The 25,778-nt window shown below is 41.9% G+C and overlaps 1 protein-coding gene and 1 long non-coding RNA gene across 22 annotated transcripts in view, besides 1 other annotated feature; one reads left to right on the top strand and one right to left on the bottom strand.

Moving 5' to 3' along the window:
- ZNF529 (zinc finger protein 529) overlaps positions 1 to 25,778 on the top strand; it is a 61,931-nt gene that overhangs the window by 10,717 nt on the left and 25,436 nt on the right. For 3 of the 10 annotated variants that reach the window (NM_020951.5, NM_001321351.2, NM_001352272.2), the window contains exons 1-2: positions 21,535 to 21,687; positions 22,435 to 22,494. In NM_020951.5, the coding sequence (NP_066002.3) occupies positions 22,481 to 22,494 (14 nt within the window). In that variant the 5' untranslated portion in view covers positions 21,535 to 21,687; positions 22,435 to 22,480. Of the gene's footprint in view, positions 1 to 5,125; positions 5,213 to 12,122; positions 14,577 to 21,534; positions 21,785 to 22,434; positions 22,495 to 25,778 lie in introns of those variants that run through there. The other 7 variants (XM_011527164.4, NM_001145649.2, XM_011527165.4 and 4 more) reach the window with 5 other exon arrangements.
- On the bottom strand, positions 119 to 21,757 carry ZNF529-AS1 (ZNF529 antisense RNA 1). 12 transcript variants are annotated; one of them, NR_173347.1, is made up of 6 exons: positions 21,302 to 21,478; positions 19,927 to 20,006; positions 17,590 to 17,686; positions 896 to 981; positions 528 to 671; positions 119 to 431 (listed from the first exon to the last, which is right to left on the bottom strand). It is a non-coding gene; the product is annotated as a ZNF529 antisense RNA 1 (long non-coding RNA). The 12 variants fall into 12 exon arrangements; NR_173348.1 differs by lacking the exon at positions 528 to 671 and having other exon boundaries at positions 119 to 385; positions 21,272 to 21,478; NR_110705.2 differs by lacking the exon at positions 17,590 to 17,686 and having other exon boundaries at positions 119 to 385.
- Positions 21,389 to 21,478: an enhancer, noted in NCBI's record as "active region_14527". NCBI's record gives its function as "activates an Ori minimal core promoter by ATAC-STARR-seq in GM12878 lymphoblastoid cells {active_cell/tissue: GM12878}" and the evidence as "EXISTENCE:reporter gene assay evidence [ECO:0000049][PMID:35858748]".

The following is a 25,778-nucleotide window of genomic DNA, read 5'->3' as shown; positions in this document are numbered from 1 at the left end:
GCAGGATTCCATGTGGCCCAATGCCATTTTGAAATGGCATTGTTTTCTGCTTTTGTGTGTGTGGTGTGATCAGGCAGTTCCAGTTGCTGCATGACAAACCACCCCAAAACTTCATGGCTTAGAACAATAACATTCTTTTTAATTATGAATCTGCATATTAGAGCATTGGGGGACAGCTAGTCTCTGCTCTACTTGGCTTCAGCTGAGGTGGCTTGGAGGTTGGGAGTCGGAATCATCTGAAGGCTTGCTCGTTTTCACGTGTGGTGGTTGATGTTGGCTGTTGGCTGGAGCTTCAGCTGACTACAGCTGGAATATCTAGTTGTGGCCTTTCTATGTAGCTGCTTGGATTCCTCACAGCATGATGGCTGGATTCCATGGGGGGCATCTTGAGAGAGATTAGGATGAAGTTCTGTTGCCTTTTCTAACCTAGCCTTGTTAGATACACAGTGTCATTTCTGTTGTATTCTGTTTATCAAGGGAGTCCCAAAGGCCTACCCAATTTCAAGAGAAAGGGAAATAGACTGTACCTCTTGAAGGGGTTAGTGGCAAAGTTTGGAAGAGCATGCAGGACCAGAAATGGTGTTATTGGTCTCACTGGAATTTATGGTCTCTGATCATTCCTGATGCCATTCATGCAGTTCTGGTGTGGATGGTGTCATCCCTTTGCAACCCTAGAAAGTAAAATGGAGGGAGCATTTTCTCCCTCTGTTATCTCAAGATAGGGTTGAGTGGCTTAATTTTAGGTCCAGGTCAGCATTAGCAGAGTGTGGGATGGGCCAGAAACTTGCTGTCTGGACCCTACTTTTAGATTATGAGGATGTCTGCTTGGTGTCTACATCTGTCTGCTGGACTCCTTGTGGGTGCAGGGTTTCATTTTGTCCAGAATCCCTCTTACCTCCCCGATTTTGGAAGCTGAGAGGCACATCTCATCTCATGGGCAGTTTTCCTTCCCCAGCTCTTGCCTCTGTGGTCTCAGTGCTTCTGCAAAGAGAGGACCCCTGAGGAAGACTGACAAGTTCTTAACCATTTTTAGCCATGGTTTTGGTGAACTGTTTGTCTCTACTTCTTAAACACAGTCATATTTTAGATCATGTAAACATTATCTTATCTTGAAATGTCCTATGTAACAGAGATCTAAGAAGTTGTCCCCAGTTCCAGTGAGTGATGATGCCAAACAGCCCAAGATTCTCCTAATGGATCCCTCTATTTTCCCATTAATATTTAGCATCCACTATCGGTTCAGCCCTTTTTTTTCGGAACAGTAAAATGAAAGCTCTTGAAGAGGTATTGGACCATCCAAAAGATGGTGGACGGATGATTAAAAGAAGCTGATTTCATTCGATTATAGATTGGGACCTATCCAGGCACAGTGGCTCATGCCTGTAATCCCAGCACTTTGGGAGGCCAAGGCAGGCAGATCGCTTGAGCCCTGGAGTTCAAGAGTAGCCTGGGCAACATGGTGGAAACTCCATCTCTATAAAAAATTAGCCAGGTGAGGTGGCGCATGCCTGTAGTCCCCGATACTCTGGAGGCTGAGGTGGGAGAATCACCTGAGCTGGGGAGGTCGAGGGTGCAGTGAGCGGTGATCACGCCACTGAACTCCAGCCTGGGTGACAGACTGAGACCCTATCTATAAAAAGAAAAAAGAATCTACTCTTTAGGATTTTTAAGTAAATACTTGAGTCATCTACAGAGGAAGTTTTCTTCTTTGCCAGTATTTATAGGTTTCATTTATTTTGTTGCCTTATTGTAATCGCTAGGACTTGCATTAGTAGTCATAGATAGGCATTGTTGCCTTTTTTATCATAGGAGGATTGTATTTAATATTTCATCACTATATTATAGCTGGAAGTTTTCATAGACTATCAAATTGAACAAGTTCTCATCTACTTCTAGCTTGCTGAGAGTTTTCATCATGAAGGGATATTGTATTTTGTCCGATAATTTTTTATATACTAAAGTGATCATATTTTTTTCTCCTTTATTCAACTAATATGAATAAAATTGATTTTTAAAACTGTTAAGCAGAAAACAATGCCATTTCAAAATGTCATTGGCCTACATGGAATCCTGCCTCCCAGCCAACCCAACTGCTTCTAGCTCAGCATTTTCTATTTCTCTTTTTCTTTTTTGTTAAATCTTGTATTAGTGGTTCATTTTGTAACCTTTTTACATATTTCTAGATTAAATTTGCTACCATTTTCTTTTTTCTTTCTTTCTTTTTTTTTTTTTGGAGACAGAGTCTTGCTTTGTTGCCCAGGCTGGATTGCAGCGGCGTGATCTCGGCTCACTGCAACTTCCATCTCCCAGGTTCAAGCGATTCTCTTGCTTCAGCTTCCCGAGTATCTGTGACTACAGGCACGTGTCACCATGCCCAGCTAGTTTTTTGTATTTTAGTGGAGACGGAGTTTGACCATGTTGCCCAGGGTGGTCTTGAACTCCGGAGCTCAGGCAGTCCGCCCGCCTTGGCCTCTCAAAGTGCTAGGATTACAGGTGTGAGCCACTGTACCAGGCCTTTCTTTTTTTTTTTTTTTTTTTTTTTGAGACAAAGTCTTGCTCTGTTGCCCAGGCTGCAGTGCAGTGGCATGATCTCGGCTTACTGCAACCTCCGCCTCCCGGGTTCAAGTGATCCTCCCACCTCAGCCTCCCAAGTAACTGGGAGTACAAGCATGCACTGCCATGCCTGGCTAATTTTTTTTTTTTTCTGTATTTTTAGTAGAGACAGGGTTTCACCATGTTGGCCAGTCTGGTCTCCCAACTCCCGACCTCAAGTGATCCACCCGCTATGGCCTCCCAAAGTGCTGGGATTATAGGCACGAGCTGCTATGCCCAGCCAAATTTGCTACCATTTTCTTAAGAATTTTTGCATGAGGTTTTTGGTCTGTCATTTCTTTCCTTGTAATATCTTTATCAGGTTTTGGTATTAGGGTAGTACTGGCCTCAAAAAATGAACTGTCCTCTCCTTCCCTATTTTCTGGAAAAGTGTGTGTAAGATTGGTATTATTTGTTCCTTAAATTTCTGGTTGAATTATCTGGCAAAACCATCTAGGCCTGGAGATTTCTTTTTTTGATGTAATAAATTAAATTTCCTTTTTTTTTTTTGAGATGGAGTTTCGCTCTGTCGCCCAGGCTGGAGTGCAGTGGCACAATCTTGGGTCACTGCAAGCTCCGCCTCCCGGGTTCACACCATTATCCAGCCTCAGCCTCCTGAGTAGCTGGGACTACAGGCAGGCGCCCACCACCACGCCCGGCTGATTTTTTTGTATTTCTTAGTAGAGACGGGGTTTCACCATGTTAGCCAGGATGGTCTCGATCTCCTGACCTTGTGATCCGCCCGCCTCGGCCTCCCAAAGTGCTGGGATTACAGGTGTGAGCCACTGCGTCTGGCCTCAATTTCCTTAATGTATCTGTTTCATCTTGTGTGTTTCAGTAAGTTATATATTTTTTTTTAGAAATTTTGTCCATTTCATCTGAATTCTCAAATTTGTTGACTTGTCTATAATAATTATTTTCTTTTTTTTTTTTTTTTGAGACGGAGTCTCACTCTGTCACCAGGCTGGAGTACAGTGGTGCAATCTTGGCTCACTGCAACCTCTGCCTCCTGGGTTCCAGCGATTCTCCTGCCTCAGCCTCCCGAGTAGCTGGGACTACAGGCGCACACCACCATGCCCAACTAATTTTTGTATTTTTAGTAGAGATGGGGTTTCACCATGTTGGGAGGATGGTCTCGATCTCTTGACCTCATGACCTGCCCACCTTGGCCTCGCAATAATTCTGTTAGACTTCTAATATCTAAAATGCTCCTTAGTGATAAGTTCTTTCATGTAATTTGTCTTTGCAGTTTTTAAATTGATAATTCTAGCTAAGGTTTTTATCAACTCTTTTTTTTTTTTTTTTGAGACGGAGTCTTGCTCTGTTGCCAAGTCTAGAGTGCAGTGGCACTATCTCAGCTCACTGCAACCTCCACCTCCCAGGTTCAGGTGATTCTCCTCCCTCAGCCTCCAGAGTAGCTGGGACTACAGGCGCATGCCACCATGCCTGGCTAATTTTTGTATTTTTAGTAGAGATGGGGTTTCACCATGTTGGCCAGGCTGGTTCCAAACTCCTGACTTTAGGTGATCTGCCCGCCTCGGCCTCCCAAAGTACTGGGATTACAGGCATGAGCCGTCATGCCCACCCAAGGTTTTATCAATTTTGTTGATTTTTCAGAGAATTCACTTTTAGTTTGGCTAATTATATATTTCATTTATTTTTTTCTCTCATCTTATTTCCTTTCTTCTGGGTACCGAGGGTTTACTCTGCTTTTCCTTTTCTAGCCTTTTAAAGTAGAACCTGTAGTTATTGATTCTAGGCCTTCTCTTCTAATATAAGCATTTAAATACAGAATCCCTACTTTAACTCCATTCCACAAATTTTCTTTTTATTTATTTATGTATTTACTTATTTATTTTTGAGGTAAAGTCTCACTCTGCCACCTGGGCTGGAGTGTAGTGGTGTGATCATGGCTCACTGCAACCTCGACTTCCCGGGCTCAAGCGATCCTTCTGCCTCAGCCTCCCACATAGCTGGGACCACAGCCATGCAATTGCACACCACCACATCCTGTTAATTTTTGTATTTTGTAGATATGAGGTTTCACCCTGTTGCCTAGGCTGGTCTGAAACTCCTGAGCTCAAGCGATCCACCCGCCTTGGCCTCCGAAAGTGCTGGGATTATACATATGAGCCCCCATGCCTGGCCCCACAAATTTTTATATGGTGCATTTTCATTATCAGTTAGTTCAAACTATTTTCGTTTTCCCTTTGATTTCTTCTTTAACCTATGGATTATATAGAAGTGTGTTTAATTTCCAAACATTTGTGGGTTTTCTAGGTACTTCATTGTCAATGATTCCTAATTTCATTTGACCAAAGAATACATTGTGTACGATTTTGATCCTTTGAAATTCACGGATGCTTTTTTTATGGCCTAGTATGTGGTCTGTCTTGAATATAACATGTGCACTTGAAAAGGACATGTATTTTACAGTTGTTAGGTGCATTATTGTGCAAAATATTAATTTTATCAAGTTGGTTGATAATCCATATATCTTCACTGATATTTTTTGTCTTTTTTTTTTTGCCAGTTGCTGAGAGATGGATGTTAAAAATCAACACCAGGACTACAGTAAGGCTGAAATCATTGAAGTGCTTGGAGTGCAGAACTGAAAGAGGTACTTACTAACTTTTAGGGCTGTGTAAGTGTAGTGTTGTTTGAAGCTCTGTGTGTGTTTCTGTAAAGACTGGTCTGGAAAACTGACCAGAGGAAAACATTTCCTTGCTTTTCCTCTGCTCTCACATGAAAACAACAAACACAGTAAGAGTCAACACCAAAGACTTCAATGACCCCCAGATATGTGGGGATTTCCCCCTACCAGCAAGCAAGCAATCAGTTCTGCAGCAGACACTAACTGCGTATCCTCCAATTTAATTCTGACACTATCTGCCTGGAAATAGCATCAGATCCCTCAGGTTGAGGGCTCAGTCCCCAAGACTGCCATCCCTTCAGACACCAGTTGCAAGTCTGGGCCTCTAGAACTTCTGACCAGCTGGGCTTCAAGTTGGCATTCCCAGACATTTACAGTGGCTCATGGCTGGAGGATCACTTGAGGCCAAGAGTTCAAGACCAGCCTGGGCAACAGAGTGAGACCTGTCTCAAGAAAATAAAAAGTAAAATTAGCTGTGCCTGGAGGTACAAGCCTGTGTAGTCCTAGCTACTTGGGAGGCTGAGGTGAAAGGCTCACTTGAGCCCATGAATTCAAGGTTACAGTGAGCAGTGATCTGTGCCATTGCACTCCAGCCTGGGTGACAGAGCGTGATCCTGTCTTAAAAAAAAAAAAAAAAAAGATGGGGTTCTCACAACCCCCTCTTTGGGTTCAATTAATTTGCTGAAGTGCTCACAGAACTCAGGGAAACACTTATGTTTGCTGGTTTATTATAAAGGATATTACAAAGGATACAGTTGAAGAGATTCGTTGGGCAAGTTATGGGGAAGGGGCATATTGTTGGAGGCACAGAATAGGCAAGACTTCAGAGAAAGTTTCTCTTCTCTCCCCACTTCTTGCTGCCATTGTCTGTTAGGTTTGATCCACAATGGATGGATCTCATTCTACTTTTCCATTTCCCTAATATTTGTCATGGCCCCTTTGAATCTTGCCATTCACTGTTCTGATTTTCACAGTGCTGGGGGTCATCAGTATGTTCCTGAGGTAGAATAGCACTCATTTCAGAACAAGGATGACAGAGGTGTGGGGTGCAAACATACACTTAGGGAACAGGGCAGACCAAGTGAATGACAACTCTCTTTCCATCACACCTATCTATCCTCAAATCATGAGATACTTATCCACTTTTACCTCTGAATACAGGACTGTGGTTCTCCTATGCAAAGACAGCAGGGAGTGGACACTAGGAGGGTAAAACAACGCTCTGAATAAAGCTCAAGAGATCTCCCACGGAATTTCATTAAACCACTACTGGAGACCATATACTAAACTAGTAATCCCTTAAGGCATGAGACACATTAAAACCACTTTATTGAGCCATAATTCATATACAATTCACCCATTTAAAGTGTACAATTCAATGGATTTTTGTATATTCACAGAGTTATACATTCTTCACCACAATTTTATTTTATTTTGAGAGAGTCTTGCTCTTTCACCCAGGCTGGACTGCAGTGGCATGATCTCGGCTCACTGCAACTTCCTCCTCCCGGGTTCAAGCGAGTCTCCTGCCTCAGCCTCCCAAATAGCTGGGATTACAGGCACATGCCACCACACACAGCTAATTTTTGTATTTTTAGTAAAGAAAGGGTTTCACCATGTTGGCGAGTCTGGTCTCAAACTCCTGGGCTCAAGCATCACCACAATTTTAGATCGTATGTATCTCCGAAAGAAATCCAGCTCCCCTTAGCTGTCACTTTCAAACCCCCATGCCCTCCAGCCCTAGGCAACCGTTAATGTGCTTTTTCTTGAGAGATTTTCCTGTTCTGGACATTTCATATAAATGGAGTCATGCAGTATGTAAATCCTTCATGACTAGCTTAACTTACCATAATGTTTTGAAGGTTCGTCCCTGTAACGTGTATCATTATTACTTTCTTTTTATGACTGAATAATATTCTAAAGTGTGGTAAGGATATGACATCTTGCTTACCCATTCATCAGCTGACGGATGTTTAGGTTGTTTCCATTTTTTGGCTACTGTGAATAATGCTTCTGTGAAGATTTATGTGCCTGTTTTAGTGTGGAAATGTTTTCATTTCTGTCAGGTAGATCTGAGGAGCAGAACTGGAGATTATACGCTAACATTATGTTTAACCATTTCAGGAACTGCCAGATTGATTTTCACAGCAACTGGACCATTTTACATTCCCACTAGCAGGGTAAAAGAGTTTTTATTTCTCAACATCCTTCCCAACACTTTAAAATAAATTATAGCCATCGTAGTAGGTGTATTCATAGTATCTCATTATTGTTTTGTTGTGCATTTCCCTAATGGGATTTTTTTTTTTTTTTTCCTGAGACGGAGTCTTGCTCTGACACCCAGGCTCGAGTACAGTGGCATGATCTTGGCTCACTACAACCTCCGCCTCATGGGTTCAAGCGATTCTCCTGCCTCAGCCTACTGAGTAGCTGGGATTACAGGTGCTCGCCACCACGCCTGGCTAATTTTTGTATTTTTAGTAGAGATGGGGTTTCACCATGTTGGCCAGGCTGGTCTCCAACTCCTGACCTTAAGTGATCCACCTGCCTCAGCCTCCCAAAGTGTTGGGATTACCGGCGTGAGCCACCACGCCCAGCCACTCATGGGATTTTATTATACCTTTATGCTGATAGAAGTAAACAGAAACAGCATACTCGTCTTTTTTCTTAATATAGAAACCTTATACATATTTATGTCTTTTAGAAAAACAGAGATGAGTTTAAGCATTATCAGGGCAGCGAATTATGACATAAACAACAGGATTTAGGATTACTATTGAAATATGAGGTGTTAAAGACTTCTTTGCACAAATAATACAAATAAGCAAATTATAGACAGGAAAATAGCTGAGGATGATCAGAGTTATCTCTCTACTGAACAGGAGAGTAATGCTGATATTCACTGAGTGTTCTCAATTCAATACTTTATCATATCAGGTTCTTTTAAATAGCTTTTTTTTTTTCTTTTTTTGAGACGGAGTCTCGCTTTCGCTCTGTTGCCCAGGCTGGAGTGCAATGGCATGATCTCAGCTTACTGCAGCCTCCATCTCCTGGCTCCAAGCAATTCTCCCGCCTCAGCCTCCCGAGTAGCTGGGATTAGAGATGCACACCACCACGCCCGGCTAATTTTTGTGTTTTTAGTAGAGACGGGGTTTCATCATATTGGTCAGGCTGGTCTTGAACTCCTGACCTCATGATCCACCTGCCTCGGCCTCCCAAAGTGCTGGGATTACAAGGGTGAGCCACCGCGCCCGGCAACCATTTAAATAGATTTTATGACACAGAGTGGTGTCTTTTCCCCTGTAGCTCCATAGGGAGAAGACATCTCCATATTTTTTAAAGATTCCTTTTTAGTACTATTAGGTGGGTCTGCATCCTGAAGAATTTTACTTGTTTGCATGATGACAAAACAGGACTGAAAAGCTCAATACATATTGCAAGGAAATGGAAAATGGAGTCGATAATTTCTGAAGTTAAAATGTAATAAACAGCATATAATGTTTTATAGTCAGGATGGGATTTCGTGTTCCACACTGGACACTCCTGTCTTTGCCTGACCTTTCATTGTCACCTCTTCTGCCTCATGATCCACAGTTGAAACCCCTTAAAAAATCAATGTGGCATGTAAATCAAGGAACAGTACATACTTAGCTTAGCAGATGTAAGCGTAAATGTTAAGACATTGCTTAGAGATCCATAGTTACTGAGCCAGCTAGGGAATGAGCTGTGTGGTGATGTTAAGTATCGTTAACCATCACATCCAGTCCTGGAGCTGGCCAGAAACCAGAGTCCCCTCATTATCTTCCATCCCACCAAAATCCAGCCTCCCAATGTTGCCACTGCTGAGGAGTATGGAAAGGAGTCATGAGTTAATCACTTAGGAAAAATTCATAGTAATCTCTTTTGTATGCAGAGTGCCTTATGGTTTACAAAGCAATTTTCCAGCTTTTATTTCAGTTTTGTGAGAAACAGGTAGAAAGACACTAATTTATTAACTGCACTGCAGACACTGAATATACTTTGTCTCATTTCATAAAGACTTATTCCCTCCATTTACAGATGAAATGGGTTGAGCAGAAATGCCTGTCTTCATTTTACATCAGAAGAGAATGAGGTTCAGTAACATTAAGGGATATACACAACTAAAAACAGTGCAGGTGGGGATTGTAGCTAGATCTGTGAGCACAGGGCTCTGGAACACTGACTGCTCTGCAGCCCTGTTACTCCACATGAGGATGAACCTGGGGCTCTCTGCTGGTCAAGAGGCAGCTCATTTCTCTATCAAACGTCACAAAAACTTCCCACTCATCCATGAGCCCCTGTAAGCCTTTAAACTGGTAGTAACGGGAGGGCAGGGAGTGGAAACTGATAGGCCTGAGTCTTTAATTCTTTCCTCCATGTTTAGTGTTGGGTTTGTTGTTTCTCCCCACTACAAACTCAGAGAGGCAAGGACGATGCACTTTGGCCACAGCAACCTGATTGACTTATGTGCTATTCTGGTCAGACTTCATCTTCCAAGAGCTGTCACCAGGCCTCCCCTTAGCTCAATGACCCATCTCTTTCCCCACTTTCTGTTTAATCAGGCTTATACTTGCTGCTTCTTTTATGTTTTATTGACTTCTATGAGATCAATTAAGTGCTCCTTATTCTACTTTCCCCTGCACTGGATTAAAAATAAGATATTGTATTGCTTTACTATCGGAAGTTACTCTTAACCTTGCATCTTTGACTTAATGACTAATTGGTATCTCCTTCTTGAGCAATAAAAAAGACCTTAGAATGCTGTAGGTACATTCTTTCTTTTTTTTTTTTTTTGAGACAGAGTCTCCCTCTGTTACCCAGGGTGGAGTGCAGTGGGGCAATCTCGGTTCACTGCAACCACCACCTCCTGGGTTCAAGCGATTATCTTGCCTTAGCCTCCTGAGTAGTTGGGATCACAGGTGAGCGCCACCACACCCAGCTGATTTTTGTATTTTTAGTGAAAATGGGGTTTCAGCATGTTGGCCAGGCTGGTCTCCAACTCCTGACCTCAAGTGATCTGCCCATCTTGGCCTCCCAAAGTGCTGGGATTACAGGTGTGAACTACCGCATCCGGCCTCTTTCTATTTTTGTCTGGTGCTTTTGATCTAATTTGTTTTGAAATTCCGTAAAAAGTAATCATCATTACTTAGTAAACAGAATCCCCAACATATTTACCAATTTCCTTGCTCATCATTTAAAATTTTATCTCATTCTGTCTTTCTGGGTTTTTCTTTTTGCTGATTCACATCCTTTAGAAATTCTTCCAGTGAGTCTATGAAAAAAACCTTATCTTTGTCTGAAAATGTCTTTATTTTGCCCCACTCTTAATTGCTACTTTTCCTCTATCAGTTTGAAGGTATTATTCTCCTGTCTTCTGACATCTTGTGCCCAATCATCTTTCCTTTTAGGTAGCATGTCTTTTCTGTTTTTCTTTTCTTTCCTTCCCTCCCTTCCTTCTTTTCAAGATTTCTGTTTTGCATTATCACTGTGATGTGTCTAGGTGTTAGATCCACTTTCATTATCCTACTTGACACTCATTTTGATTCCTCATCTTAAAATTGAGTTTAATTTTGAAAAGTTGTAAACCACTTTTTCTTCTGATGCTTCTCCTCCTTTTTCTCCTTTTATGACATTTATTAGATGTGTCTTGGGCCCTTTTATTTTCTTCCATGTCTCAGTTTCTCATCTGTATTTCACTTTTTATCTCTGTGCTGCATTATAGGTAATCTCTTCAGATATATCTTTAAGTTCATTAATTTTGAGCTGTGCTTGTTATGTTCTCTATACTTAAGATCTTTTTTATTTCTAGAAATTTTCTCTGGTTATTTTTTAAATCTACTGATTCTTTTTAAGTATTATGCTTTCATTATGAGTTTTTTTCCATTTAAAACATTTCATATTCTTTCATATTGTCATATTATATGCAGTTCTTGTAGGTGCCAACTTTATTATTTATTTACTCTGCTGACCCTCCTGTGATGGTTATTTCCTCGTTGTTTGTAATGTTTGTTTTTGAGCTCATCTCGGTGGGGCAGAGGTATGCTTTGTTTTTGTTTTTGTTTTTAAGGGTTTTTCATGTGCCCTGGATTAAGACAGCATTCAAAACCATGTTACATTTACTTTTGGCTGAGTTGCAGGGGTTTCAGTGGAGCTGAACCTGGTTCTGTATGTATGGATTTTTATTTATTAAAACTTAAAATTTTAGGCCAGGTGTCATGGCACATGCCTGAAATCTCAGCACTTTGGGAGGCCAAGGTGGGAGGATTTCTTGAGCCCAGGAGTTCAAGACCAGCCTGCACAACAAAGTGAGACCCTGTCTCTAAATTTTTTTTTTAATTAGCTGGCCATAGTGGTGCCCACCTGTACTCCCAGCTACTTGGGAGGCTGAGACAGAAGAATCACTTGATACTGGTAGGTTGAGGCTGTAGTGAGTCATGATCATGCCACTAGCCTCCAGTCTGACAAAGCAAGACCCTGTCTCCAAACAAACAAACAAACAAACAATTAGATACAGACTTTCTGTTTTTCTATTTCATTTTGAGTCAAGAGTTTTGAGAAGCTGTGCTTTTAAAGGAATGGATGAATTTCATCTAAAATGTCAAATTTATTGGCATAAAATTGTTCATAATATTGCCTTATCATTTTACTGTCTATAGGATCCGTAGTGGCATCTTCATTTTTATTCCTGACATGGGCAATTTGTGTTTTCTATTTTATTAATTATGCTTACTAGGGATTTATCCATTTTTAAAATACCTTCACATAAACTTGTTGTTTTGTTCATTTTCTTAATGGTCTGCTTTCTATTTCTACTTAATTGATTTATGCTCATCTTTTTTTTTTTTTTTTTTTTAAGATGGAGTCTCGCTCTGTCACCCAGCCTGGAGTGCAGTGGCGCGATCTCGGCTCACTGCAAGCTCCTCCTCCCGGATTTAGGCCATTCTCCTGCCTCAGCCTCCCGAGTAGCTGGGACTACAGGCGGCGCCTGCCACAACTCCTGGCTAATTTTTTGCATTTTTAGTAGAGATGGGGTTTCACCATGTTAGTCAGGATGGTCTCGATCTCCTGACCTCGTGATCTGCCCGTCTCAGCCTCCCACAGTGCTGGGATTACAGGCGTGAGCCACCGCGCCCAGCCGATTTATGCCCATCTTTACTTCTTTTTTTTGACTTTTGGTTTAGCATATAGCATGTTTATTATTCTTGTTTAAGCCTTTCCTCATTTTTAAAAATGGTGGCAAAGTATACATGTAACATAAAATTTACCATCTTAACTATTTGAGTATACAGCTCAGCAGCATTAAGTATATTCCCATTTTTGTACAACCAACATCCACAACTTTTTCATCCTGTAAATGTGAAACTATATCCATGAAATAATAACTACCCTTTTCCCCCTGCCCCCAGCCCCTGGCAACCACGACAAGAAACCTACAAACTCTCACTACAAGCGTTAATAGCCTAAAAGTGGGAGACCAGTAATACTTTCTGATTTTATGAGGTGGACTACTCTAGATACTTCATATGAGTGGAATCATAAGTAGTTATCTTTTTGTGATTGGCTTATTAGAATATCCTCAAGGTTCAGCCACATTGTAGCATATGTCAAAATTTCCTTCCAAGGCTGAATAATATTACATTGTATGTATATGCCACATGTATTAGTCTGTTTTGTGTTGCTATAAAGGAATACCTGAGGCTGGGTAATTTATAAAGAAAAATGGTTTATTTAGCTTATGGTTCTATAGGCTGTACAAGAAGCATAGTGCCAGCATCTGCTTCTGGTGAGGCCTCAGGAAGCTTACAATTATGGCAGAAGGCAAAGGGAGAGCTAGCATATCACATGGCAAGAGGGAACAAAAGGGAGAGGGAGGAGGTGCCAGGCTCTTTTAAACAACTAGCTATAGGATGAACTCATATCCATGTGGAGGACACCAAGCCATTCATGAGATCCACCCCATAATCCAACACCTCCCACTAGGCGCCACCTCCAACACTGGGGGTCACATGTCCGTGTGAGATTTTGAGGGAACAAATATCCAAATCATATTACCACATTTTGTTTATCCATTCATCCACTGATGAACATCTGGGTTGTACGTATTTCTTGGTTATTGTGAATAATGCTGCTATGAATTTCTCCTTTTTTTATTTAAGTACTTAACATTCCTCTCAACTCTGCTTTAGCTGTATCCTTCCAATTTTGATATGCTGTTGTCACTTTTTCATATTTCAAAACATTTTCCCCTTATTTATTCAATGATCTGTAGATCTAGAAGTGTGTTATTTAATTTCCATGTATTGAAGGACTGTATAGGTTTCTTATTATTGGTTTCTAATGCACATTCCCTGTAATGTGGCAATCTTTTGAAGTTTATTGTGACTTATGGTCCAGCCAATAGTCTATCATGGGGACTGTTCAGGTACATGAAAAGAATGTAATTTTTCAATTGTGGGTATGGTGTTCTGTAAACAACAATTAGGTCATGTTGACTGGTGTGGTTCATATCTTCTATACAGTTGTCCCTTGCTATCCACAGGGGACTGGTTCCAGGACACCTTGTGGATACCAAAACCTACAGATGCCCAAGTTTGTTATATAAAATGGTGTAGTAGTTGCATATAACCTATGCACAACCTTCTGTATATTTTAAACCATCTCTAGATTTTTTATAATACTTAATACAATGTAAATGCTATGTAAATAATTTTATACTGTATTTTAAAATTTGTATTTTTTTACTGTCATTGTGTTTTTTCTGAATATTTGTGCATTGCTATTGGTTGAATCTGCATATATGAAGAGCTGATTACATATACTACTGAATTTCTTGCCTACAAGTGCTATCAATTACTGAGATATAATTGTGGATTTCCAATTATGCTTGTGGATCTATTTCTTTTGTTCTGTTAGTTTTTGCTTCATAAAATTTAACACTCTCATTATAGGTTCATACTAGCATACATATTCCTGATGAACACAGTCATGTGTCATGTAATAACATTTTACTCAATGATGGACACATATACAATGGTGGTCCCATAAGATTACAATGGAGCTGAAAAATTCCTATCACTTGTGGACGTTGTCATGCAACATATCACTCAGGTGTTTGTGGTGACGCTGCTGTAAATAAACCTACTGTGCTTCCAGTTGTATAAAAGTATAGCACATGCAATTATGTATAGTACGTAATAGGTGATAATAATAAGTGATTACATTACTAGTTTATGTAATTTATTGTACTATTTGTATTATTATTTTAGACTGTACTCCTTCTACTTATTAAAAAAAAAAAGTAACTGTAAAACAGCCTCAGGCAAGTCCTTCAGGAGGTATCCAGAAGAAGGCATTGTTTTCATAGGCGATGACAGCTCCATGCATATTTTTAATCCTGAAGACGACATTCCAGTTGGACAAGATATGGCGGTAAAAGACAGACATATTGATACTCTAGACCCTGTGTAGGCCCAGGCTAAAGTGTGTTTGTTTTTAACAAGAAAGTTTAAAAAGTAACAAACATTTTTAAAACAAAAAAATTTTTAAATAGAAAAAAGCCTATAGAATAAGGACAGAAATATTTTTGTGTTGCTATATAATGTGTTTGCGTTTTAAGTGAAGAGTCACTACAATTCAGAAAGATAAAAAATAGTAAGTTTATAATGTAAAAATATTACAGGAAGCTAAGGTTAATTTATTATTGAAGAAAACTTAAAAAAATAAATTTAGTGAAGCCTAAGTGTACTGCTTGTAAAGTCTACAGCAGTATACAGTAATGTCCTAGTCCTTAGCATTCTCTCACAACTCACTCACTGATGCACCCAGAAATTCAGTCCCACAAGCTCCATTCATGGCAAGTATCTTATACCGGTGTGCCATTTTTTAATATTTTATACAGTATTTTTACTGTACCTTTGCTATGTTTAGATACACAAACACCACTGTGTTATAAATGCCTACAGCATTCAATACAGGTATGCTATATGCTATATAATATGCTATACAGGTTTGTAGCCTAGGAGCAATAGGCTATACCATATAACTTAGGTATGTAGTAGGCTACCCCATTGCTGTTTGTGTTAGTGTGCTCTATGATGCTTGCATGATGCAATCACCTAATAACACATTTCTCAGAATGTATCCCTGTAGTGACAAATGTATATGCAAATTCCTAATGACCTGCTCTTTTATGACTGTTACCTATCTCCTGCCATATACACTGTTTTGAGGCCTATTATCTGATACTACTATAGCCATGCCAACTTTCTTATACTTAATGTGTATCTTTTTCTTGACCAATTTTAAGTAGCTTTCTCAGCTTAGAATTTCTAATTCACACGTGTAGTATTTTTTTTTTTTTTAGACGGAGTCTCACTCTGTCTCCCAGGCTGGAGTGCAACGGCGCAATCTTGGCTCACTACAACCTCCACCTACCGGGTTCAAGCAATTCTCTGCCTCAGCCTCCCGAGTAGCTGGGATTACAGGCACCCACGACCATGCCTGGCTAATTTTTAGTAGAGACAGGTTTTCACCATGTTGGCCAGGCTGGTCTCGAACTCCTGACCTCAGCAGGTGATCCACCCGCCTCGGCCTCCCCAAGTGCTGGGATTATAGGCATGAGCCACTGCCTCCAGGCGCAAATACACAATTTAATACTACATGTGGCCGGGTGCGGTGGCTCACGCCTGTAATCCCAGCACTTTGGGAGGCCAAGGCTGGCAGATCACTTGAAGTCAGGAGTTCGAGACCAGCCTGGTCAAATGGCGAAACCATCTGTACTAAAAACACAAAAATCAGCCAAGTGTGGTGGCATAATCCCAGCTACCAGGGAGGCTGAGGCAGCAGAAATGCTTGAACCCGGGAGACAGAAGTTGCAGTAAGCCAAGATCGCACCACTGTACTCCAGCGTGGGCAACAGAGCAACACTTCATCTCAAAAAAAAAAAAATTCTCCCCCAGTGGAGTGCAGTGGCTCATGCCTATAATCCTAGCACTTTTGGAGGCTGAGGCGGGGGGATCACAAGGTCAGGAGATCGAGACCATCCTGGCTAACACGGTGAAACCCCATCTCTACTAAAAATACAAAAAATTAGCCGGGCATCGTGGCGGGCACCTATAGTCCCAGCTACTCGGGAGGCTGAGGCAGGAGAATAGCGTGAACCCGGGAGGCGGAGCTTGCAGTGAGCTGAGATCACGCCACTGCACTCCAGCCTGGGCAACAGAGTGAGACTCCGTCTCAAAAAAAAAAAAAAAAAAAAAAAAAAAAAAAAGAGATCAAGACCATCCTGTCCAACATGTTGAAACCTCGTCTCTACTAAAAATACAAAAAATTAGCTGCGTGCGGTGGCGCAGGCCTGTAGTCCCAGCTACTTGGGAGGCTGAGGCAGGAGGATCGCTTGAACCTGGGAGGCGGAGGTTGCAGTGAGCCGAGATAGCACCACTGCACTCCAGCCTGGGTGACAGAGTTAAGACTCCGTCTCAAAAAAAAAAAAAAAAAAAAAATCTCCCCCACACTCTTTGTTCTTGCCCTTCACTTGAAGGATAGAAAAAAAAAATAAGGGATTGAGTTCTTCATTTTATAAAAAAAATATAAGGGAGGAATGGACAAGAGAAAAAGAGTGGGTAGTACTGAATTAATGTCCAAAGGAAGGCTTAGAATACCATTTATTTTTTCACCAAGACTGAAGGCCTGCTCTATTCCTAGGCTCCTGTCACTACGGACCTGTTTCTCTTGTCCTCTCTCTTCTCCAGTGCTTTCCTGAACATAAAGAGTAGAGTTCAGCTGAGTGTGGTGACTCATGCCTGTAATCCTAGTACTTTGTGAGGCCAAGGCAGGAGGATCACTTGAGCCCAGGAGTTTGAGACAAACTGAGCAACACAGTGAGACCCTGTCTCTACAGAAAATTTAAAAAAAAATAGCTGCATGTGGTTGCATGTGCCTCTAGTCCCAGCTACTCAGGAGGCTGAGTGGGAGGATCACTTGGGCCCAGGAGTTTGAGACTGCGGTGAGCCATGACAATGCCACTGCATTCCAGCCTGGGTGACTCTGTCTCAAAAAAAAAAAAAAGAGAGTACAATCTTCTGTCTTATCTTTCAATCAGATTACTCCCATTCCTCTGGTGACCACTAGAATAGAGCTGTATAAATGGGACAAGGCCCCCTGGGATATGACTAGAAGGGAAACAGTGGTGCAACATGACCCAGAAGGTGAAGGGAGAACAATGTAACATGGGAGGACCTCCCTCTTCCCATATACTGTTAATAATAATGTGATCTACCTATTCTACTTCGATAGAAAGTAGGGCCGGGCACGGTGGTTCACACCTGTAATCCTAGCACTTTGGGAGGTCAAGGAGGGCCGGTTGCTTGAGCTCAGGAGTTCCAGACCAGCCCAGTCAATGTGGCGAAACCTTGTCTCCACCTAAAATACAAAATACAAAAATTAGCCAGGTATAGTAGTGGGTGCCTGTGGTCCCAGCTACTCAGGAGACTGAAATGGGAGAGTCACTTGAGCCTAAGAGGTCGAGGCTGCAGTGAGCCAAGATTGTGCCACTGCCCCCCAGCCTGGGTGACAAAGACCCTGTCTCAAAAAAAAAAAAAAAAGAAAAAAGAAAAAGTAGAATCACTCACTAGTAAACTGAGATATGTGGACATGATGAGGCTTTCCCTTGTATGGGCTCTCCTGAGTACTCACTACATAGACATCAAATCACTATCTGTATAAAAAAGGTTTATGAAAGGAACATATGCTTATTTAATTCAAGGGAATATGTTTCTGTTTATAGGAGTGAAAAGGAGTGCTGAGTGATATAGCCAATTATTATTATTATTATTATTATTATTTTGAGACGGAGTCTTGCTTTGTAGCCCAGGATGGAGTACAATGGCACGATCTTGGCTCACTGCAAACGCCGCTTCCTGGGTTCAAGCAATTCTCCTGCCTCAGCCTCCCGAGTAGCTGGGACTACAGGTGCGGGCCACTACGCCTGGATAATTTTTGTATTTTTAGTAGAGACAGGGTTTCACTATGTTGGCCAGGCTGGTCTTGAACTCCTGACCTCGTGATCCACCTGCCTCAGCCTCCCAAAGTGTTGGGATTACAGGCGTGAGCCACCGCGCCCGGCCAAAATATCCAATTATTAAGTGAACAGTAGTTACAATTAGAAGGGAAACTTGGAGAAGGCAACATCGTTATCTGACTAGAATAAAAGAAAATGGAGAATCCTGTCTCATGGAAGTTTCATGGTAGGCAAATGCTCAGTTATCCTGGGGGAAAGATATTTCAGAAAGGAGAGAAGAAACATTCATTCTCAGCCATAGCTTTTATAATTTGCAGGAAAGGACCCTTGCTCTTTTGGATTCTTTTTTTCAAAAGGTGAACAACAGAGAGAAGGGAGGCAAAAGAAGTCACGTGAGGCCGGGTGCAGTGGCTCACGCCTGTAATCCCAGCACTTTGGGAGGCGGAGGTGGGTGGATCAAGAGGTCAGCAGTTGGAGACCAGCCTGGCCAACATGGTGAAACCCCATCTCTACTAAAAATACAAAAATTAGCCGGGTGTGGTGGCGGGTGCCTGTAATCCCAGCTACTTGGGAGGTTGAGGCAGGATAACTGCTTGAACCCGGGAGGCAGAGGTCGCAGGGAGCCAAGACGACGCCATTGCACTCCCACCTGGGTGACAGAGCGAGACTCCATCTCAAAACAAACAAACAAAACAAAACAAAAAAAAAACACATGTGAAACCTCTTAGAGTTTCTATAATAACGTGGTTAAACCTGCCTGGTTAACTAATAAGCATTTACTATTAAATCCTAATCATTATGCGAGATAGTACCTATTTAGTAATACCGGTTGGGGAAGTAGAGAAGAAAGTAATTACACTGTAGGCTCTAGACAGTTGAAAGAAATTTTTCTTTTAAATGAAGTTTGAAATTTGATTTTTACAGTAAATATTTTAATTAGAAAATGACTATTTTAATTACTACAAAGCTGACTTTGTGATTTTTAGTATTTCAAGTACTTTTACTTGGCTTAAAGTGATTTAGGAGGGCATTAAATCACCCTCAACTTCATCCAGGGGCAAGCAGGAGGCGGGGGGATGGGTGGGAGGGGACCTCAAATCTATATAACTATTCAAAGTGGTAGGGATGAAAGTATTTTACTTCTGTGCTACATATGGAGTCCTCATTTCAACATATTGGATTTAGTTTGTATGATGTTTCCAGGTAATGCAACCCTGTCATCTAGAAATTATAATTTTACCTCCTAGTTTCCAATGCTTGTGATATTTTAGTTATTAGAAACTGTCATAATTCTGCAAGCAAAATGAAATACACCAGACACACAGAGTTCTTCAGTCATTAACATCACTTACATAGTGATCCATTTTCAGTTATCATGGAATGTACACACAAAACCATGATAAATAACAATTAGCACAGACACATTCAGTTTCCTGTGATCTTACCTACTCCACAAAGCCACAATCCTATGGATCCTACATGACATTCACAACCCTGTTGAGCCCATCTTATAATTCCATACAAACATAGCAAAGCAAACTCAGAAACTACTTACTCCAGTTACACAATCTCACACACACAAATCACAACTAATCATTCTAAAAGGCTTATCAGCTTCTTGGAAAGTTAAATGTAAACTTACCAATTACCCAGCAACTTTTCTTCTAAATATTTGCCCAGGAGAAATGGAAACGTGCCAGCTTTATTCGTAATGTATAAAACCTGTAAATATGCCAAATGTTCAACAACAGAAAAATGACTACACAAATTGTGGTATATTTGCACAATGGAGTGCTGTTCAGAAAAAGAAAAATGAACTACACATGAAATCTCACACACATTAGGGTAAACTAAAGGAGAAATATGGAATTCCGGAACTGACAGTTACAGTGACACAAATCAGAACTATGGCTGTCTCTGCTTTGAAACTGACTGGAAAGGACACCAGCAAACTCCGGTGGTGCTGGTGTTGTAAACCAAAAATAAAATCCTAAGCACACCCAGACCATCTTGAATGGACCCCTCCTCTTGGCCAGGGCATTCCTAACCTGAAAAACTAGTAAAGCCATGATGGAAAGGCGGGGGTGGGCGGGTCGGACATGCTTCATTATACCCTCCTCCATTTTGGAATTACTGATAGAAAAGACCCCAAGTCTGAAAAGAAACATTTACAATCTATTCTCTGTGAAGCGTGCTACCTGGAGACATTCCTAAGTCTTACGTCAATAACTCTTTCAACCCATTGCCAATCAAATAATCTTTGAATCTACCTATGACCTGGAAGGCCAGCCACCTTCCAGCTGTCCCGCCTTTCCGGAGGGAATCAATGTACATTTTACATGTATTTGATTGGTGTCTCATGTTTCCCTAAAAGGTATAAAACCACATATATCCCGTCCACCCTGGGCACAGGTTCTCAAGATCTCCTGAGGGCTGGGCCACCGGCCATTGGTCACTCATATTTAGCTCAGAATAAGTCTCTTCAAATACTTTAGAGTCTGAGTCTTTTCGTCAACAGTGTAAAACACGCCCTAAGGCAGACACACACACACTGAACCGCCGCTACCTGCCAGATTCCATCTGGGGCCTTTCTCATGGTGCAAAACGGACAAAAACTCCAAGTCACCCTCAGGTTTACGACCACGGGTCACATCCTGAGGCCCCCACACTTAGAAGCCAGAGTGGAGCAAAACCTCGCCCGACTCAGGCTCCGAGTTCTCCCCTCGACCCTCCCCAGCCTAAAGGCTGTACCCGCTTCAGGCCTTCCCAGCCCGGCCCTCCAGTTCCTTCTTCGGCCTCCCTCAGCCTGGGGTCCGGGTTTCCTCCTCGGCTGAGCAGCCGGGTCCGCGACTCCCTTCACCCTCCCCGGCCCGGGCTTCCGGTTCTTTCCAGAGGTGAGGCAGGGGCCACCTAGAATTCCGCGGCCCCCCACCTCCCCCAAGACCACCCTCGCCCCAGCTTCCTGTTCCCCATTCTGTCCTCCCAACCTGGGTTCCCGATTACTGCCTCGACTTCACCTTGCCGTCAGGGACCACCAGCCGCCTCTTCCGCGCCTAGGGGACGCGCAGCGGCAGCCTCTGCTGATGGCAAGGGTCTGCGCACCCGGAAACTCCAGGGTCTGGGGCGTGGTGCGGCCCCTGCGGCCAGCGGGCTCCGCTTGAGCTTCAGGGCTCTTTCGTTGTTGGACTACGTTTCCCACAGGCCTCAGGGCCGCGGATGAACTTCGACCTTTGCTTCCTTTTCCGGTGTTGTGGTTATTGAGTTAAGCCTGGCGAGTCGAGGTGACCCGGGCCGGGCTGCGGGAGGAGCTCGCGGTGAGGTGGCCCCGCGCTGCCGGGCGAGGTCGGTCCACGTGGAGCCGGGAGCCTGAGGCCTCTGTACGCGGGAGCTGCGGACGATGGTGGTTAGTGCTATTGTTTACGACGTCATTGTGGTGTGTGTGTGTGAGAGACGGAGACCCTAGTGTGTGCCGTGGGTGCTGTTTGATCGGACTCAGGACGGTGAGTAGGGGCGGGGTCTATCGTGTGACCCTGGTCTACGGTGACGTGATCGTGTGACAGCACTGTTGTGACCAACTATAAGTGTGAACGGGGTAGAAGTGTTTTTTTGTTTTTTTTTGTTTGTTTGTTTGTTCGTTTTTTTCCGTGAGCCTGTAGGAGTTTGTTTTGGGTAAAGCGTCATTTTTCCGACTCTGTGATGTCTGTGATGGAATCTCTTCGTGAGGTCTTATACACACACACACACGCATATAGATAGATTACATAGATGATATATAGAAGATAGATAAATGATAGATAATAGATAGATAGATAGATAGATAGATAAGATAGATAAATGAAGTTTCCTGGGAAGACGTGAAGGGGAGGGCATAGGTGTAGTATTCATTCCTGGGATAACTCCCCTTGCATGAGTTTGGAGGCCATTTATACATTAAAGAACTACAGTATTTCCTGAGCTGTGTTCCCTAGAAACTGCTAGGCATTGGTCGTACCTTTTTCTCGGATGTGGGGAGGAGTCGACAGTATTCTAGTTTCCCTCTTCGATCTGGGTGTGTTTGTTGTGTGTGATGGGCTTTTCTGGTGGTGAACACTGTGTTCTTATTTAACCAGTCCAGGATGTCATGAGTCCTTTCTCCCTCTTGGTTATGTAGTTCTGCAAGTGAAGGCCCCCTGAAGTGGAAGACAGCATTGGTACTAATGGCCAACTCAAGGTTAGTTTTTTTTTTTGTTCATTTACCTGGTCCCTTGGTTTTCTCTTCCCAATTAACAACAGGACCGTAGAGATGGGTCCCCTTGTCCTCCATTGCCTTTCCAAATGCCCATTTCCCTTTCATTGAATATTCACATATGCATTAGGTAAATCATTCAATTCTCCCATGTGCTTCTTTTTTTCCAAAGGATTTTTATGGTATAGAAATACAACTCCTGGAGGAGAAGTTAAAACTTTTTTTTAGAATGTAATTTGTTAAGGAGGAGACGAGTGATTAAGTAGAATGGCACACTAGATACCTTTGATCTTATTTACAGACTTGATTTGCAAACAAAGCAAGATAGGAGATGGTAGGTATTAATCAGTAAGTGACAAAGTTGGCTTTGGAGACATTTAGGAGTGGGAATATGATAGGAGTTTTATGCAGAGAGGCTATGTCAACAAGGGCAGGGAGTTTTTCCAGAACATTCATGAGGGGATTTAAGTGGTGACAACCAAATCTTCTTTGAGATTTGGCAGTGTGACATTGGTGTAGATTGTGAGAGGCAGCCTGATACAGTGGTGTCTGAGTCTAAAGCAGCACAGTCTAATGCAAATATAATATAAAGCCACTTAGGTAATTTAAAAATTTCCATTAGACACTTTTTTTTTTTTTTTTGAGACAGAGTTTCACTGTTATTGCCCAGGCTGGAGCGCAATGGTGCGATCTCAGTTCACTGCAACCTCTGCCTCCCAGGTTCAAGTGAGTCTCCTGCCTCAGCCTCCCAAGTAGCTGGGATTACAGGCGCCCGCCACCATGCCCGGCTAATTTTTGAATTTTTAGTAGAGAAGGGGTTTCATCATGTTGGCTGGGCTGGTATCGAACTCCTGACCTCAGGTGATCCACCCACCTCATCCTCCCAAAGTGCTGGGATTACAGGCGTGAGCCACTGCGCCCGGCTTTAAACACATTTTAAAAAGAAAAAGAAACAGCTGAAGTTAATTTTGGTAATGTATTTTATTTAAACCAATATATCCAAAATATTATTTCAACATGTAATGATATGAATACACTGAAATACTTTACACTCATATCTTTATACCAAGTTTTCAAAATCTGGTATATGTTTTATTGTTATTGCATGTCTCAATTTGGATGCTAAATTTTCAGTGTTTAGGGTGAATTATAGTCCTACCAAAACAATAAAGTTGTGTTTAATAGAAAAACATTTATATTGCTTTTGTATTTAAATGTAAGTTAATTAAAATTAAAGGTAATCCTGTGTTAATTAGCTTAGGAAAAGTGAAAAAAATTTAAAATTCAGTTATATGTTCACACTGCATTTCAAAGGGGTTAATAGTTACTCATTTTTCCGCTTTACAGTTTCTTGTTGTAGAATGTAAACAATAATTATATCAGTGCTTTAGGGTCTTTATGAGGCCTGGATACATTAATATGGACATAAACCTAGAGAATTTAATAAAGGCCTGGCACTTTAAGTCCTTATCTGCAAGGGAAGAAAAAAAGCTGGTTTGTGAAGATTCTTAGTATTCCCCATACATTTTCTGTAAATCAAGAGCAATGAAAATATAAAGTTAATTTTGATGGGCACTTGAAATGAATTTTTTAAAAGCCAGATTTGCAAATGTTCTATTAAGGCAATTTGACTGTCTTAGGTTCAATGATTTGCGAGAAGGACTCACAGAACTCAGAAAAGCTGTTATGCTCATAGTTATTCTTCATTACAATGAAAAGGTACACATTAAAATCAGCAAAGGGAAAAGTTGCATAGGGCAAATACCGGGAGAAACCAGGTGCAAGCTTCCAGTGCAGTTGCACAGGCAGCACCTAATTCTCCCAGCAACAATGTGCGAATACAAACATGAAGCGTGGCCAACCAGGGAAGCTCTCCTAAGCCATGGTTTCCAGGGTTTTTTGTTTTGCTTTGTTTTCTTTTTTCTTTTTTCTTTTCTTTTTTTTTTTTTTTTTTTTTGAGATAGGGTCTTGCTCTCTCACCCAGGCTGAAATGCAGTGGTGGGGTCACAGCTCAATGCAGCCTCTACTTCCCAGCCTCAAGGGATCCTCCCACCTCAGTCTCCCAAGTAGCTAGGACTACAGGCACACACCACAACACCCGGCTAATTTTTGTATTATTTGTATAGATGGGGTTTTGCCATGTTGCCCAAGCTGATCTTGAACTCCTGGGCTTAAGTGATCCACCTGCCTCTGCCTCCCAAAGTGTTGGAATTACAGGTGTGAGCTACTGCCCTGGCCCATGTCCGGGGTTTTTATTGACGATCAGTCATGTGGGCATGAAGGTTCTGTGCACTGACCTTACCTACTTAGTCAAGCCTACCCAGAAGTCAGATGGATACAGGTATTTACCATAAACCACATTGTTAACAAAAGCCATCTGGCATGGCTAAGACCTCAGATATACATAGACTCTGTTAATCAGGCAGGATACTCTAACTGCTCAGAGATTATCTCCCAGGAGCTGGTCAAGGACAATTTCTTCTTTGGAATGTGCAGGGTTTGAGCACTCTGAGCCAATTCTTCATTTTTTTCTTTTTCTTTTTGTTTTGCAACAAGAGTCTTGCCCTGTCACCCAGGCTGGAGTGCAGTTGTGTGATCTTGACTCACTGCAACCTCTGTGCCTCCCAGGCTCAAGCAATTCTCATGCCTCAGCCTCCTGAGTAGCTGGGACTACAGGTGTGCACCACTGCACTCAGCTAAATTTTTTTTTTTTTTAGTAGAGACAGGGTTTTACCATGTTGGCTAGACTAGTCTGGAAATCCTGGCCTCGTGTTGTTTGCCCGCCTCAGCCTCTCTAAGTGCTGGGATTACAGGCATGAGCCACCACACCCAGCCAGTTTTTTAAAAAGTAATTATTTCTCTTTGTTGATATCTCACTTATTTATATGTCATTTTCGTGATTTCCTTTTTAGTTCTTTCTCTGTTTTCCTTTAGCTCTATGAGCATATTTAAGACAGTTTTTACAAAGCCTTTTTCTAGTTACTCCAATGCTTTTGTTTCTTCAAGTGTAATTTATTTTGCTCCTTTGATTGGACCCTGTTTTCCTGTGTCTTTGTATGCCTTGCAGTCTTTTGTTGAAAACTGGGCATTTGAAGAAACAGCTACTTCTCCTAATTTTTGCAGACCGTTGGAGATCTTCACTAATTAGGGCCTTGGGATCATCTCAGGGTGAAAGTCTAAGGTCTTACGTTTTTCCTGGGTCTGTAGCATGCCTGTGCCTATACCTGTGTATATGCTTTTACCAGTTTCCCTAATATGCATAGCTGCTT

Source organism: Homo sapiens, chromosome 19 (genome assembly GCF_000001405.40).
Source record: "Homo sapiens chromosome 19, GRCh38.p14 Primary Assembly".
NCBI classification, from domain to species: Eukaryota; Metazoa; Chordata; class Mammalia; order Primates; family Hominidae; genus Homo; species Homo sapiens.
The sequence above is the reverse complement of the archived record's forward strand: the minus strand, read 5'-3'. Positions and strand labels throughout refer to the sequence as shown.